At 34.7% G+C, this 18,324-nt stretch overlaps 1 annotated feature.

Moving 5' to 3' along the window:
- Positions 13,343 to 13,867: an enhancer, noted in NCBI's record as "NANOG hESC enhancer chr13:72578868-72579392 (GRCh37/hg19 assembly coordinates)". NCBI's record gives its function as "activates a minimal SCP1, AML or CMV promoter by ChIP-STARR-seq in primed H9 embryonic stem cells {active_cell/tissue: H9 hESC(primed)}" and the evidence as "EXISTENCE:reporter gene assay evidence [ECO:0000049][PMID:30033119]".

Here is an 18,324-nt window from a genome sequence, read left to right on the forward strand (position 1 = left end):
CAATAAGACTGTGATGATTACATTTACACATTTAAAAAATCCTTAGCAAATATCTCTGAATTTGAGGAGTGCCAATTTTGTTATTCTATTTATTTTAAAATATAGATTAAAAAAATTCTTGTCAGCTTTTATTCCGGCCACTACAGTATTTAGCAGCAGAATATAAACTCTCCAAAACAGTACACACACCCAGAGACTTTTTTGGAACTTAATTTCTTTGAAAATAAGTTTTGGTCTGTACATTTTGATTTCTTAACGGTTGTCGGACTTACAGTGCTTCTCTCAACTACTGCTCCCTTAAAATTCAGCGAGGCATTGTTAGGGCATGCTTTCCCATAATGAACACATTATAGTAATCGTTGGAGAAGAAAAAAGACAAGAATGGCTGTGGTGTAATCTTCAAAATGTTCACATGGCTGTAATGCTGGTCATTTTAGGGAAACTGCCAAAAGGCTCATGAAGCAGTAAACATGCATTCTGTATTTAGAGAAGTAGTTTAACTTTCCGGATAGCCAATTCCAACTTCAGTTTATCTTGCTTTATGTACAAAAGAGCTATGTGGATGTTGACAGCTTATGAGCAAATCATTCTACAAAATGTGGCCATTGATCTGCTATTGAAAGAAGAGACAATGTTCTGTAGAAAGGCTGCAGCAAATACTAGTCGCTGTTATGAGTTAATGAAGTTTTTATTGTTAATTAAGTCTAGAAGAGTCTTTTCATCTACGAAGACTACTTTGCAGAAAGATCCAAAGTGATGTGTTTTTGCTTTTGCCTTTCCTTGTCTGGAAACTTTTGCACCCACCATTTATTCATTCAACAGACATTTATTTATTGAAGACTTCTTAGCAAAGCACTGGGTGCTGGTGGACATAAAGACATATTGGATTGGAAAGCACCCTCAGCCGGGCGCGGTGGCTCACGCCTGTAATCCCAGCACTTTGGGAGGCCAAGGTGGGCTGATCACGAGGTCGGGAGTTCGAGACCAGCCTGGCCAATATGGTGAAACCTCTTCTCTACTAAGAATACAAAAATTAGCTGAGTGTGGTGGCGTGCTCCTGTAGTCCCAGCTACTAAGGAGGCTGAGGCAGAAGAATCGCTTGAACCCGGGAGGCAGAGGTTACAGTGAGCTGAGATCGTGCCACTGCACTCCAGCCTGTGCAACAGAGCAAAAACAAACAAACAAACAAACAAACAGAAAACACCCTCAAGGAGCTTTTTGTTAAGTAGAGGATATGAATATGGACACAGATATGTACACAGCTACAATATATTGTAGGGCATGGAAGAGCCATAAAGGAGGTCAAGACAGACTCATCCAGAGAAAGGAACTATTATATATGAGGCTTCTTGCAGAGATGGCATTTGAGCTGGAAGAAAAATCAGCATAGAAATGATGTTGAAGTGAGTGGTGGTGTTGATGTAGAGTTTGCAGAAAAAGAACAAGAACACACAAATACCAGCCAAATCCTCATGTTGTGCATTTTCTGTGTAAGCACACTCGGATAAGTTATTATTTATAAATATAAAGTAGGTATGAATTAAAGACCTCCGAGATGTTATCATAATGCCACACATGGAGCATTGTCAGCTCTCTTCATCAGTCTGGAATCAGGACCTCCATGAACCACCTGCTTTGACACCAGGTACTCAGCAAGCTCTTGTGTTTTTCCGGCCCTGGTATATTTATTAGATACCTGAACCTGCCTATGGCTTGGCTTTAGTTTGAAGAAAATCTCAGCCATATAACTTCAAACTGAAATGTTTTAGCACATATCATGGAAAGATAAAAACTCTTTCAAAAAACATGACCACAGTATGATTATCATACTTCAAGCAGCAGGCATTATTAATATTCCATTATGGTAAGAAAGAAAATTAAAGAAAGTTAATTCATAACAAGCAATTTTTCATGTGGCCTTTATTTTTACTCGTATAGCAAAGGAAAGAGAAGGGAACGAGGGAAGGTGGGGAGAGAAAGAGGGAAGAAGAGAGAGAGATAAAAAGGAAGGTTAACAAGATAAAATACAAACAGCAGAGTCTAACAGCCTAAAATACAGGTGTGTGCTTATCTCAGCAGGGCTGACAACAGTCATCTTGCAGTGAAATAATGAATTGGCTGAATTATCCTGAGAACTTACAGGTGATAAGAGAGATGCTCAAAGGATAGGAGAAAGATTCTATGAAGATTTGCTTAAAAACTTATTGTAAATGCTAGAAATTATAGACCAATCCATGCTAACTTCAGTTTATGTAAAAATATTGGAGCATGAAAATCAATTTGTAAACACTCAGATTGCAAGGTAATAACTAACACCAGTTAGAAGAGCAAGTTATCAAAGACCAATCTAATAGCCTTTGCTGACAGAGCAGAGGACATTGTAGATAGCAGAAAAGCAATACATGCAATACATCTCAACCTCTGGATGGCCTCTGATTTTGTCCCATATGACACACTCATCAACAAGCAGAGAAAATATAGCTTAAACCAGTATTCCTCAAACTATGCACTGTGACCCTCAAGGTTATCATGAAATGGTACCAAAGAGGTTACAGAATTTACAACTGTATTTCGTCTTCCTAGTGCTGGAGCCAGAGGAAGTCCCAGTATGGAGAGAATATATCAGCAGGATGAGTGTAATTAGGAGATGTGCACAAGGAGAACAGAGAAAAATCCCAAAAAGACACTACTCATTCTCACATTCTCAGATAACCAAGCCCTTCCACCAACCTTCCTCCAGCTGTTACAAAGACATTCATCCCTGCAACCGGCCAAAGCAGAAGGTCTGGTTAAGTCAGACCTCTAAGTGTTGATTTTCTCTTTTGCTTTAATCATTGTTTCTTGCTTATCAATAACATCAATATTACAAAATATATGTAAACTCAGATTAAGAATAAAAAAGTTTTTTCAGTATTCATGATATTCAAGCACTTCATATGTGTTTAGGGTATAAAATATTTAACTCATGTAAGGATATTTTTATTTAACAAATAACAGGCCCTATTAGTAACTCATTTTATCCTCATAACAACTCAATAAGGTAGGAATTATTATTTACAGATGAGGAAATTGTGGCACAGAGCAATGAAGCAACTTGCCCACAATTACATGTGAATATCTGGTAGGGAATAATTAGAGAAAGTTTCAAATCAGGCTGTTTGAACCCAGAGCCCAGGTCTTTAACCACTGCACTATGATGCTCCTCCAAATGTAAAACATTAAGCACCGTGCTTAGTGCATAATATACTCAATAAATGTAAGCTATTATTATTAATATCAATCAATTCACACATCACCCTGTATTAGCCCATTTGACAGATGAAGAAGCTAATGTATGATGAGTTTAAGCACTTGTGTAAGGAAAATACGAATGTTTTCAGATGTATATAATGAGTCAGAATGTGAAGAAGTGGATTCTTGATAAACTAAGCTGTCACAATAAGCTGATGAGTTCATTTGTGGGAGAATAAGGAGAGTTGCAAACTATTAGGCAGTGATCTTGAGATGCTTGATAGAGTCATGAAAGCAAATGGCAGAGAGCTGTACCAACGCATTTTTCTAAAGGAAACAAGGGATTCAAGTGAACTAAAATGATCATGCATTTTTTAATAGCATCAGTCCAAACATTTGTAGGGTTTTCATCAGAAGAGGTTTCTTTCTTCTAAAAAAAAAATCTTTAAAAAAGAATAGATGAATTTGGGTGTTTCCCTGAGAAGAAAGGCAATTTTATAGTTCGATTGAATTTCAACTTTAAAATGTTTTGGAAAGAAGAAAGCTTCTCCTTTTGAATGTATTTCAATAGAAGGAGTTGAAAACTCTTGTTGTCTTAAAGGAACCAAGACGCAACTTTAAGCTATTGATGCAAATTTCTCATATTCCTCAGTGGTAAATTAAATTTACACATTTGCTCTTGAATTTGTTGTGCCTGCATCTTCCCTTCTATTCATGCTAGAATATTTTGTATTTGCAAGTTTACAAAGAATTGTGGAATAAGAATAAAAGCAAGAACACTTGAGGATAAATGATTGTTTCTTCCATATGTAGTGGTCTGTTCATCACAGCATTGCTGCTCTATTTTGTGTGTGACAGATTGTCAAATTAAATGTTTTTCTGCCCTTTTTCATTTTCTCTGTTCATTTGTTATTCTAAAAATAGAATGTTTTGATTTTCTACACTACAAGAGGTCATTCCTTGTTTTTTCATGTTTGAATTATTTTTCTAAATGAGCAAATAAAACATTAAAAAGAGTTTCAAAAAAATTTATGAATATTTATGGGGATAGCTAGGAAAAGATCAACTCAAAGAAGAGTATGTACAAGTCTACTTAGTGTTATATCAGAAATTCCTTCCATTTATTTAATTGTTCATTTGTTTGCTTTAGAGATGGGATCTTTCTACACTGTAGGCTGGAGTACAGTGGTTATTCACAGGCATGATTATAGCTCACTGAAGTCTTGGACCCCTGGCCTCAAGTGGTCCTTCTGCCTCAACCTCCCAAGTAGCTGAAAATACAGGCATGCACCACCACACTGGGTGACATTTCCTTCCTTTTAAGACTGAGAAATACTGCATTGTGTGTGTGTGTGTGTGTGTGTGTGTGTGTGTGTATCACATTTCATGTATCTATTTATCTTTTAACAGACACTTGAGTTTCTTTCACCTTTTGGCTATTGCAAATCATGACGCTATGAACATGGATGTACAATTATCTGATTGAGTCCCTGATTTCACTTCTTTTGGATATATATATGCAGAAGTTGAAATGACTGTATATTACGGCAATTCTATGTTTAATTATTTGAGGAACCACCATAATGTTTTCATTAGCAGCCACACAATTTTATCTTCCCACCAGCGATGCACAAGGGTTCCAATTTCTCCACATCCTTACAAGTATTTTCTGTTTTATTTTTAATAATAGTCACCCTAATGGTTATACCCTAATGGTGTTATCTTATTGTGGGTTTGATTTGCATCTCCCTGCTGATTAGTAATGCTGAGGATCTTTTCATGTACTTAATGTATATTTTCTATGGAGTAATATCTATTAATGTTTTTTGCCTATTTTTAATTGGGTTGTTTGCTTTGTTCTTGAGATGTAATTTTTAATATATTCTGAATATTAATTTCTTATCATATATATGATATCATATATATGATTTGCCATATTGTCTCCCACTCTGTGGGTTGCATTTTCATTCTGTTAATAATGTTCTTTGAGGCACAAAAGTTTTTAATTTAGATGACGTCCAACTTATATATTTTTTCTGTTTTTGCTTGTGCTTTGGTGTCATACCCAAGAGATTATTGCTTAATCTAGTGTCATGAAGCTTTCTTCCTGTTTTCTTCTGAGAGTTTTATAGTTTTAGCTCTTACATTTGCTTAGGGCTTTGATCATTTTCGGTTAATTTTTGTATACGATGTAAGGTAAAGGTATCCAGTCTTTCCAAAAACAAGTTGTTAAAATGACTCTTCTCCTCATTGAATGGTGGGTCTTCATTGTCAAAAATCATTTTACCACATATGTGATGGTTTATTTCTGAGATCTCTATTCTATTCTATTAGTCTCTGTTTGCCTTTATGTCTGTATCACACTGTCTGGATTACTATAGTTTTGTCATATAATTTGAAATCAGGAAGTGCAAGATATATAACTTTGTTTTGCTTTTTTCAAGATTATTTTGGCGATTGAAGTTTTCTTTCGATTCCATATAAATTTTAGGATGGAATTTTTTATTTCTGAGTAATTGAAAATTTTGATGGAGATTATATTGAATCTTTAGATAGCTTTGGGTAGTGACATCTTAATATTAAGTGTTCAATCTGCAAATATGAGGGAGCTATTTATTGGTGTCTTATTTAATTTCCTTCAATCTAAAAGCTGTATTGTTTTCTGTATAAAAGTGTTGCACCTTCTTGGTTAAGTTTATACTTAAATATTTTATTTTTAATGCTATTATCAATTGTATCATTTACTTAATTTTCTTTTCAGATGGTTCATTTTTAGTGTGTAGAAACGTAACTAATTTTTGTGTGTTGATTTTGTATTTTTGCGACATTGCAGAATTTTTTAATAGTTCTAATAGGTTTTCAGTATATACAGAAATTAGATTCAAGTAAATACAGAAAGTAAATATATAACAAATTTGTATATTAAATTACTGTGAGCAGGATAGATAAAACAGTTTTGGAACAACTGGATAATTTTGGAAAAAAGTAGATTCCATATTCATAGCATGCATTATAATAAACTCCAAATGGGTCATCAATTTTAATGAACTCATGACTTTAATAGATTCTCTTTCCTAGCTCTGTCCACTGAAAGGGCCAGGATGCAGTGACATGTTGCAAGCAAGGTTATATTAGTTTCCAAATACTATTTCCACCAAAAGGGGAGGACTCCCTGGAGTATTAGATGATTCCAGGTCTTGCATTAGATAAACATGAAACATCTTATGCCAGAAAGCAAGGAATTGCTGAAAGAGTGATGGGAAGATGTCAAAAGAACATAGGAACAACCACCTGACTGGCTAAATTTGAGACAATGTGAAAATAAAAAAAGACAATAATAGATTATAGAACATTGAATATCCAGAAAATAAAGACAAGGACCCTCAGACTAATCCAGGTGGTAGGACATTTCCTAAGACAATTGATCTGAACTCTTCGAAAAATGTTAGTGTCATGAAAAACTTAAATGAACAAAAAGGCAGGATGCTGTTTAAGTAAAAGAGGACTAAAGAAACATAAAAAACTAAATGGCATGTGTGAACCTTGATTGGATCTTGGATTAAAAAACACAGCTATAAAGGTTATCTTTGCAGATAATCAGGAAAACCTGAGTATGGACTGTGTATTAGAAAATATTGTATCAATGTTAAATTTCAAGTGGTTTTGTCATGAAGTGTGCATGTCTGTGAGAGAGAGGGATACAAAGAGATAAAGCAATGTGAGAAGATGTTAACAACTGGTGGATCTAAGTGAAGGATATATGCTGTTCATTGACCTATTCTTTCAATTTCCTATAGCTTTGCAATTCTTAAAAATAAAAAGTAGAGGAATAAAAATAAATAATATTATTAAATAATTAAATTAAATAAATAAATTAAATTAAATTAAATAAATAAATAATATTAAATAATTAAATAAATAAATTACATATATACATGAATATTTATATATGTAAATAATATTCATAGATCATGCAATTATATTATTAAATAATTAAATTACCATTTATATATGTAAATAATATTCATAGATCATGCAATTATGTCAAGTTCTTTATAAATTAAGGCAAATGTAAGAAATAAAGGTACGAGTATATAAAGGAATAAATTATATAAATAGAAAAAATAGTTCTAATAGATTTTTGGGATATCTTCAGGGTTTTCTACATATACTATCTATCATCTTGCTAATAGAAATAATTTTGCTTTCTCTTTTCCAAAGGTTAATACTAATGCTAAGTTCCAATTTGGATACCTTGCATTTTTTTCTTGACTAATTGTTCCAGCTAGTATTTCCAATACTATGCATAACAGAAGTGACAAAAGACCTATTTTTTTTGTTCCTTTTAGAGGAATTATTTTTTTTTTCCTTTTAGAGGAAAAGCTTTTAGTCTTTTATCATTGAGTATGTTGGCTGTAGGTTTGTACATATAGGGCCTTTATTATGCTGAAGTAGTCGTCTTCTATTCCTAGTTTGTTGAGTGATTTTATCATGAAAGGGTGTTGAATTTTGTTGAATGATTTTTCTGCATCAACTGAGATGATCATATTTTCCCTTTTTTCTACTAATGTAGTGTATTACATTAATTGATTTTTGTATGTTGAACTATCCTTGCATTCCAGGAATAAACTCCCCTTGGTCATGGTGTATAATCTTTTAATATGCTGTTAAATTTGGTCTTTCAGTATTTTGTTGTGGATTTGTACATCAATATTTATAAGGCATATTGTTCTACAATTTTCTATTCTTGCTTTGTATAAGGGTTATTCTTCTCCCTTTTAAATTAAGAACTCATTAAAGTTGTCTTCTTTATTTCAGCTTTTTGCTTTTGATATTACCTGGTAGATTCTCATTTTTCCCTGAAGGTAATTCTGAGGAAACTAGAGTTAGGTGAGGGTTGGAGCCTCAGACAGACTTTTCTTTGGCAAGCACAGGGAGGTGGCAGATTGCAAACACTTATGATTTAACATCTTTTTTTGTTCTTGTCACAAATTTATAAACTGAACTGGATCCCATAATTAAGATAAGCCCTCCAAGAAAAGGGTTCGAGAAGAAGCCATATTGGTTGAAATATGTGCAAGTGTACAGGTCAGTGTTGCTTAATTTTTTTTTTATCAAGGACTCCCAATATTGTTATATTTACTATTATTTTATTTAGGTGTCTTTAAACAAAAGCTATCTATATCTAAACTCTCTCTACTTACAACTCTTACACAAAAGCAAGTTAAATTTCAAAGTTAAATACAAATTTTACCAAACAATACAATTCATTTTTTGGTGACAATTTTATGTTACAAATGATGTTTTCCAAAAATAAAAGTGTCAGCTCACACAATGTCAATTGGTATCACAAAAAAGTATTTTGAATTTATCATGTTTGTACTGCTATTTATTTTGTGATGACTTAGTTTTTCCAGCACTTATCTTTATATTAATTACTGCAAAAATATTTATTTGCATGATATTCCCGTCTGTGATGTTATTTGGACTTTATTTGATCTAGAGAATCACTTACGTATTTGACCTACAGAATCACATACATATTTATTCTGCCTTCATTATTTTTCATTAGCTTGGGATCATTATGTCAGTGCTATTTGGCATTGTTACCAAGGTAAACACAAACTGGAATATGGGCACAAAAGCAGTTTGGCAATAATTGAGTTTTAAAGGCTGGGCATGGTGGCTCATGCCTGTAATCCTAGCACTTTGGGAAGCTCATGTGGGAGGTTCGATTGAGTCCAGAAGTTTGAGACCAGCCTGGGCAACACAGTGAGACCCTGTTTCTACAAAAAATAAAAATAAAATTAGCCAGGCCCAGTGGCATGCACCTGTAGTCTCAACTACTTGGAAGACCAAGGCAGGAAGATTGCTTGAGCCCAGGAATTCGAGGTTGCAGTGAGCTATAATCGTGCCACGGCACTGCAGCCTGAACGACAGAGCAAATATCTTATCTCAAAACAAAATGAAAGAAAACACCAAATAATCCAAAGCATACCTCAGTTAATTCTTAAATTAATACCAAAATGAAAAACTCACATTTAAACTTCCTACCGTTGAATCATTAAAAAACACTGGTGAAAAGAGAAAGATACTGATTAGAGTACAGGGAAGAAGAAAGCTGGGGAGAGCAAAAGAACTCAAGGGCAAATGAGGGCAGGAAGTAGCCAGTTGCAATGGCTCACGTGCTGCTTCTGTCCAAGGCAAGCAGGGTGATGGGCAGAAAACTGGGGGGAGGGACTCAGTGTCAGAGGTGTGGAGAGGCATGGGGTTAAGGAATAGGGTGAAAAGCAGTGTTTAGGGCCAAAGAAGGATAAAGAACCAAATCGATACTCACAAAAAAGCAAATCGCTATTTCAAGGGCCTAGCAGAGGCAGGAGCAAAAAGACTGGAATCTGAGAGGTTCAAATGGGAAAAAACGTTCAGGAAAATGGATGGAAGTAGAGTTTGAGGACTGAAGCCCAGCTCCAGGTGCTGACTGTCATTGTCACTGAATGCATTTTCCCAGATGGATATCCAGAGTGGAGGAAGGATTAAAAATGTGTATGGCTTGAGAGACAAACAACTAGCTCCAAAAGTTTATTAGAGCCTAACCTTTCCTGGAACTGATATACACAGGGAAAGTATACAAGGCAACCAGGCCAACATAAGACAGAAATCAAAGTGACCACTCCAAGAATAACAGAGCATCTTTTCTGGCTTTGCCCCTCATTGCAGAGTTGTGGGAACTCTAACCATCCACCCACGGAAAACTCAACTAATGCATCCATTGCTTTATTTACTAAATTTTCAAATGTCTTTATTTTCCCAGGGAACTCCTAGGCAGTGGAAGCATGATGATGAAAAATACAAGGACACTGACTTTCTGCCTCCTACAGTCAAAGCAGGGATGCAGAGCGATGGGCAAACACGCAACTGCCATACACAGTAAAGTGCAACTGCACATAGAAGGACCTTCCTCGTCAGGTTTAGCCAATTAGGGAAAGGTTCCTGGAGGAAATGATGTTTTGGGTGAGGTGTGAGTTAGTAAGCTGTGGGTGCAGGAAGGCGCATTGCATCAGGGAGAGGGAACACGATGATCAAAGACCTAACTGGTACAAGAGAGCTAATTAGGCCTTATGAAACCTGAAAGTCATTCAATCTAGCTTTTGTACGAGAGCTGTGGAAGAGGGATGAGTGTCAGTGACAAAAGATTTCTCTGGAAAGTAAAAGGGAACCCTAAGGAGCTACTTCAGAGCCACTGAAGTATTTTAAGCAGGGGAATAAAGTGATTTGTTTGAAAGATCTTAAAAATTACATTATGGATGTGATCAAATATGACCTTCTTAACAGCCACATAGAATCTGCCATTTTGTAGGACTGCTCTGGCTCTTGACCTAACATTTGTAGTCACTCTCAGCGTTTACCAGGGGTTTCAAATGTAACTGCCTGCATGTTCAGGTAGGAAAGTAAAGGCATGAAGTGGGGCTGATATAAGATATTAAGGAGTGGTGGTGACTCTGATAAAGGAGGGTATCTATACCTATCTCCACAACAACCATCACTTAGTTTCCACTGAGTTCCGGTGCACAGTAATGTTGGCCAGAGATTCTGAGTATCCTGTATAGACTCCTTATTTGTGAATGGAAAAAAAACAAAAAAACAAAAAAGCAAAAACAAAACTGTGAGCTAGGAGTTGCCTTCAAGTTACTAGTTTGGAACTTCTGTTATAGTTAGGAAAATCTGTAAATCTGTGAAGCAGATTTGTTGCCCGAGCAAACAACAATATTATCCTTGATTCCAAGAAGATAGCAATTGGTCAGGTTTTCTTTGTTTCTGTTTTCTTCAAAAATCCTCAATTTAATCAAAATGATTTAAATCAGCGTTCAGTTGTGCAGTGAAATTGATGGTAAAGCAAAGAAAAAATAGTGTGTTAGTCCATTTTTGTGTTGCTGTAAATAAATACCTGAAACTGGGTAATTTATAAATAAAAGAGGTTTAATTGGCTCATGGGTCTGCAAGCTGTACACAAAGCATAGTGCCAGCATTTGCTTCTGGTGAGGGCCTCAGGAAGCTTCCACTCATGACAGAAGGCGAAGGGGAGCTGGCATGTCTCATGGTGAGAGTGGGAGCAAGACAGAGAGAAGCGAGAGGTTCCACATTCTTTTAAACAACCTGATCTCACATGGACTAACTTAGTGAGAACCCATTCATCACTAAGGAGGTGGTGCCAAACTGTTCATGACAGATCCTCCCCCATGATCCAACTACCTTCCACTAAGTCCTTTCTGCAATATTGGAAATCACATTTTAATGTTGGAGGAGACAACATCCAAACCACAGAAAATAGTGATTTAAATATGCTGAAAGGAAATCTAAGTATAAAGTTTAGAATGAAAAGTATGGAATAGGGCACTATAAAATCTCCTCTCCTCTCGTCTCCTTTCCTTCTTTCTTTCCTCCCTTCCTCCCTTCCTCTCTCTCTCTCTCTCTCTTTCTTTCTTTCTTTCTTTCTGAGACAGAGTTTCACTCTTGTTGCCCAGGCTGGCATGCAATGGCGCGATCTCAGCTCACCACAAATTCCACCTCCCAGGTTCAAGTGATTCTCCTGCCTCAGCCTCCTGAGTAGCTGGCATTACAGGCATGTGCCACCATGCCTGGCTAATTTTGTATTTTTAGTAGAGAAGGAGTTTCTCCATGTTGATCAGGCTGGTCTTGAACTCCTGACCTCAGGTGATCCGTCTGCCTTGGCCTCCCAAAGTGCTGGGATTACAGGCTTGAGCCACCGCACCCTGCCGATAAACAAACTTTCTATTGGGCTAGGCAAACACTTTGTACATTTCAATATAATAATAATGATAATAATAATAATGAATATGCTTGTTCATGGAGAAACTAAAATGTTAGAGAAGAAGAATAAGAAAAATAAGAGAAGAAGAGGCTGAGGGTAAAATGAGAAAATAATTACTCATTTCCACCATCTGATATATATTATTATATACTTAAGATGACTAATCAGTTGCTTGAAATCTAAATGCTGTTAGTAATGCATTCATAAAAGTCAATATTGAAGTTTCATTTTGTTATAATTTAAAATATTAACACTTTGTATTTCTCTTGTGCTTTGTGATTCGTAAAAACTTTGTTGTTCAGTAGGATATAGTGAAAGTGAATGGAATTTAAGGAAGATGTTTCTGTCTATATTTCCAGTAACAAAACTTCATTTGCTTATTATACATGGTACTCTTGGAATTTATGAGACCTGGAAGTCCTGTCTACTAAAAAATTATATAATCTCCATCAAGACTCTTAAGCATCTGTGTTTCTCAGTTTCTTACCTGTAGGAAAAAACGTCTTAGCTGAGGTTATAAAATATACATTTAACACTTGGAAATAAGGCAAAAAGTTGAGCTGTATGCCCTTTAATGTTATATTGGGTCAATGTTTAAGAACCTTTGACTATTTATTATTTGATTAAACCCCAATTTAAACAACTGGAAATGTAAATTTTTTAAAAAAGCAAATACATAAAAGCCTATTTAGGGAAATTGGGGTATTTATTTGACTATTTTGATGCATCTACCTCTTACTGTTCTCATTCTCACATTTTATTCTAATTTAAAGTCTAAAATATTTTCAGTTATATATTGAATTTGACTTATTTTATAGGCTTCAGCAATGTTTTATCTTCCTAAGAAACATAAGAAATTATTCTGGAAAAAAAAAACCCACTTCAATAAAATTTAAGGAAAACCACTAAGGGCATTTCGTTTTTTTATAAACAATATACACAGCTGTAGCGATGTTGGCAGGAACACATGCCAGAGAGCTACGTACTTGCTTCTACAAACTGTTCTGTTCACCCTTTATCCAGTAACAGCTGGTAAAATGGTATTTAAGAACAGTTTGATTTAATCTAATGAGAAACTATGCTGCAATGCCTGATATTGCCTGTGGAAAATAATTGGACAAACATTGATTTTTTATGTTGCTATAATAGGTACATTTCCAATAAATAGAAATTTATATGCATACTTATTTGGCAACATTCGTCTCCTGTGAAAGCTAGTGTTTGGTTCTTCATACACATATACAGGCACATACACATACATGTATATACATATACATGCACAACACACATAAATTAACACCCAGTGTATATACGTATACTACAAAATTTTAGTGTTATTGATGCCAGAAAACAAAATCCTATTTGGAATGCGTTTAAGACTTTACAGTTATTTTCAAAAACAAAATTATGCACAGAGAAGGCAATAGTTTGGGTAACAGAACTCTCCAACAACTGAAGCTGTAAACACTGAGCAAAGAATCTATGAGACCAAGTAACAAATTAGCACACACTTCAGTCTCTTGAAATGAACAAAGAGAAGAAAGAGCCTCCTGAATCTCTCTACATTCCATCCTGGAAACCTCAATAGATTCTTCTGAAAGAGTAAACATGGTGTGTGGTTGCTCGTACATGCAAACATGCACGATCTTCTCTGTTTCTTTTTCTTATATCTTCTCAATTCCAAATTCTGCAATCACTGGAACAAGAAAAGCTGCCCCAGTGGGATTTCTGTCATGATTTGCTTTAGAAAGTACTCGAAACCACAGATGACCATTACTTGCCAAAATTTGAGTCAGGATTTGTTGACGCATAAGGTTCAAATAATTTGTATAAACATCCAAGCACTTAGACAGTATCCAAGATATTTCTTTTTCTTGGAAGAAAAAAAAATCATCTGTAAACTATCTTTTATTGTTTTATAATTGCCCCCTTATTTGTTACCCACATTTCATTTTAGATTGTAACTTTTTTGATGATAGGATATGATACCTAAGCAAGGCTGAGTTTATAATAGGTACTAGTTTGATAATACCTAGCTATATAAACATATTATGAAATAAATGTTATTTTCTTTGGAATGAGAATTTCTAACAAGGAGAGAGTTATATTTGCTGAAAGAATTGTTCAAATCCTCCAGATAGGTTGCAGAATCTCATGGGGCTATAGACTTTTATTTTCCTCATCATACTCAGGCTTGATAAAGTCCAGGGGAACTGCTATGCATGAGACCTAGGGACTAATGGTAGGAAGAAAATTTCCTAACAGAACTCCAGGGCCCTGGATGACAGAAAGTAGACACTTGAGTCAAGCCTTGACAAATAAATGAAATTGTTTAAAAAATAAGTTAAAAGAAAAATTAAGAAATTCTAAGTGAAGTCAGAGTGTTTATGGTATTTGTTAGGAATAGTAAAGTGATGAATTGTCCTAGAGTAGATAGCGTACATAGGGAGGAGAAGAAACTGTGCTTGGGAGGAGCCAGTTAGCAAAGATGTTAAAATCCAGGCACAGAAGTTTCCATATTTCCTGAAATATGATGGGTAACGAGGAATCAATAAAGTTTTTAAGTGGAACGGTCTGAAGAAAAGAGTAAGGATAGGAGATTAATCTAGCAATAATCTGCAGGATGCTTTGGGAAAGGGTGTGGAGACTGGATGGTCAAGGTGACCATTTCAAAGGCCACTGTAGAAATTCAGATTGCAAGCAATAAAGACTTAGGCTTTTGCTAATAAAGAAAACGTAAACTAGAAGACTGGAGTTCTGCTTCCAGGACTGGCCTTAAATGGAACTAAACGTATCCTCTTACTATAAAAAAGATTTTTAAAAAAACCCCAAACATCAAGAAGAAAAAACATTCAGTAAAATAAAACTCATGATTTTGTACAGTAGGCAACAGGCAGTGCAAGTGTAAGACTAAGATATATGAGAAAAGAAAAGTAATGAAGGTAATTCTATATCAACCTGGATTTCTGAAGTGACAATCTAGGACAATGGCTCTCAGAGTAAGATGAGAAGACAGAGATGAAAGTTTAGGAGGCCCCGGGCTGCTGGAATTTGCAACGTAAAGGACCAGAGAAGAGATAGTGACACAGAGAAAGAGATCTGTCTTAGTAGTTTCTAGAGCTCTCACAGAGCTGGCAAGTCCTTGAGACCCATAAGAAGCATGGCTTAGCAGGGCTAAACTAGCCCAGAATAAAGACTACCATCTTTATTAATAAATCGGAAAAACCATCTTCAGAAGGTTCAAACTAAGCCAAATATAACTGACAGAAGAAAGTCTAATACTTTTGAAAGAAGACAACATAATCTAGCACACAACAACATAAAATTCACTATGTCCAGTGCTCAATTAAAAACAGCTCAACAATTGAATTAGTATAGCCATTATGGAAAACAGCAGGAAGAATCCAGAAAAACTTACAAATAGAACTACCATAGGATCCAAAAATCCCACTACTGGTTATATACCCAAAAGAAGTGAAGTCACTATGTCAAAGAGAAATCTGCACTCCCATCTTATTGCAGCACTATTTACAACAGCCAAGATATGGAATCCAGCTAAGTGTACCTCAACAGAAAAATGGATAAGAAAACATGGTCTATTTATCTATCTAGACACAATGGAATGACATGCAGTCTTAAAAAAGAAGGAAATTTTGTCATTTGTGACAACATGAATAAACCTGGATGACATTATGCTAAATGAAATAAGCCAGGCATAAAAAGATAAATAACATATACTCTCACTTATATGTAGAATCTAAAAAAGTTGATCTTATAGAAGCAGAAAGTAGATTAACGGTCACTAGGATATGGGGGGAATGAGAGGGAGTAGAGGGATAGATGTTACTCAAAGGATATAAAATTTCATTTAGACAGGAGAAATAAGTTCAAGAGATATATTGTGCAACATGGTGCAATTAATAATTTTTTGTTAACTATAACAAAATATTGTATTCTTGAAAACTGCTAAAAGAATGGATGTTAGGTGTTCACACCACAAAAATAATAACTATTTGAGGCAATGCGTATGTTAATTAGCTAGGTTTAGTCATTACACAATCTATATATCCTTCCAAACATTGTATTGTACATGATATATATAATCTTATCTGTCAATTAAAAATTAAATATTAAGAAAAAATAGCTTAAAAAGAAAAAAGACTAAAAAATTTGGCCACAATCATGAGAAAAGCCATTCAATAAAACACCCACAGATAACATGGTGTTAGAATAATCAGACAAGGTTATTAAAAGAGTTTTCACAAATATGCTAAAGGTTTAAAGTAAAATACGACGATAATGAGAGAAATGGAAGATGTGAAAAAACTAAGTGGTAATTCTAGAGATGAAAATACAATAGCTAAAATGAAACTAAATAAATGAATGGGATTAACAGCAGATTAGATACTTCAGAAGAAAAATCAATGAACTTAAATAATAATGTAAATTAAACTGAAGCACACAGAAGGAAAAAATGAAAAAATGAATCAGCAGCTCTTCAGTGACCTATGGTACAATATTAAGAGTGCTAACATGCATGTAACCAAGCCCAAAAGGAAGGAGAGGGTCCATCTGAAAAACTAATGCCAAAAATTTTTTCAAATGTTCATTCCCAGACAGGATAAATGCAAAGACGACCGCACTAGGTCATATTATAATCAAAATTTTGAAATAATTGGTAAAGAAAAAAATCTTACTAGAGGAAAAAGACACAAATAGAAAAGAGCATATGCAAGAATTATCTCAGGATCCTCATTTGAAACTGTGTGGCCAGGAAAACAATGGAACAACATCTTTTATTATTATTATTATTATTATTATTATTATACTTTCAATTCTAGGGTGCATGCGAACAACGTGTAGGTTTGTTACATATGTATACATGTGCCATGTTGGTGTGCTGCACCCATTAACTCATCATTTACATTAGGTATATCTCCTAATTCTATATCTCTCCCCTCCCCCCACCCCATGACAGGACACGGTGTGTGATGTTCCCCATCCTGTGTCCAAGTGTTCTCACTGGAACAACATCTTAAAGCGCTCAAAGGAAGATTGGGAGTGCAAATCCCAGGAAAAATATAATTATATTTTTCTATATATAGAAAAAATTCCATCAAATATCATCATGAATAATTCATCTAATCATGGGAAAAACAGCACAAACCCACAGACCAGAGGAGACTGCTAAGACATGACAACTAAATGCAATATGGTAACCTGGATTGAATCCTCAAACAGAAAGAGACATGTACAAATTTTATTTACTATTAATATACAAACATCATGTTTGTTAGTTTTGACAAATGTACCATGGAAATATTAGACTTTAACAGTGGAGGATACTGAATAAGAAATATATGGGAACTCTCTTCACTATCTTCTCAGCTTTCACATGCAACAAAAATTATCCCCAAATATGTGTTATTTAAATAAATAATGGTGAAATAAAGACTTTCTTGGCTGTAAGCGAATAGAAACTGAAAATTCATTGCTAGTGAAAGATATCACCTTCTTAGCCATCCAAAAATGTTAAATAAAGCTCTTTAAGCTGAAGAAAATTATGGAAATTTGTGTCTACACAAAGGAATGAAGAGTACCTGATGTTAAATATGTAGATAAATATGTATATATATGTATTTTCACTTAAAAATTTCTATAAATATTTTCACTGCCTAATGAAAAATTTAAAAAATTCAGTTTATATATATATGTATATGTATATGTATAAATAGTTGGCTAGCCATATGCCGAAGACTGAAACTGGACCTCTACCTTTCACCATATACATATATATTGTATCTATGTAATATATAGTATGTGTGTACATATGTATAATGCTTGTGCATATGTGTGTAAAATGTATAGAAACAATAGCACAGAGAATGAGGAGAGACGTGGAAGTGTAAGGCAGACTATGGTAAGCTAAATATGCATAGTGTGAATGCTAGTGCCACCACAAACACAGAGATAAAAACCAAGGAGATAGAGCTAAGAAGCCAATAGTGGAGATAAAGTGGACTACTAAAAAATAACTCAAAAGAAGGTAGATATATTATGACACAGAAAGAAGGCTCTCACCAAATGCAGTGCTTCACTTTTGGACTTCCCATCCTCTGGGATCATGAGCTAAATAAACTTCTTTTCTTTATAAGTTAAAAAAAAGACAGGTTTAAAAAAGACAAGAGGAAGAAAAAAATAACATATAGAAAGTAAATAGCAAGACTGTATTGAAAATAGCATTAAATATAAATGGCCTGCAT

Source organism: Homo sapiens, chromosome 13, assembly GCF_000001405.40.
Source record: "Homo sapiens chromosome 13, GRCh38.p14 Primary Assembly".
NCBI lineage: Eukaryota > Metazoa > Chordata > Mammalia > Primates > Hominidae > Homo > Homo sapiens.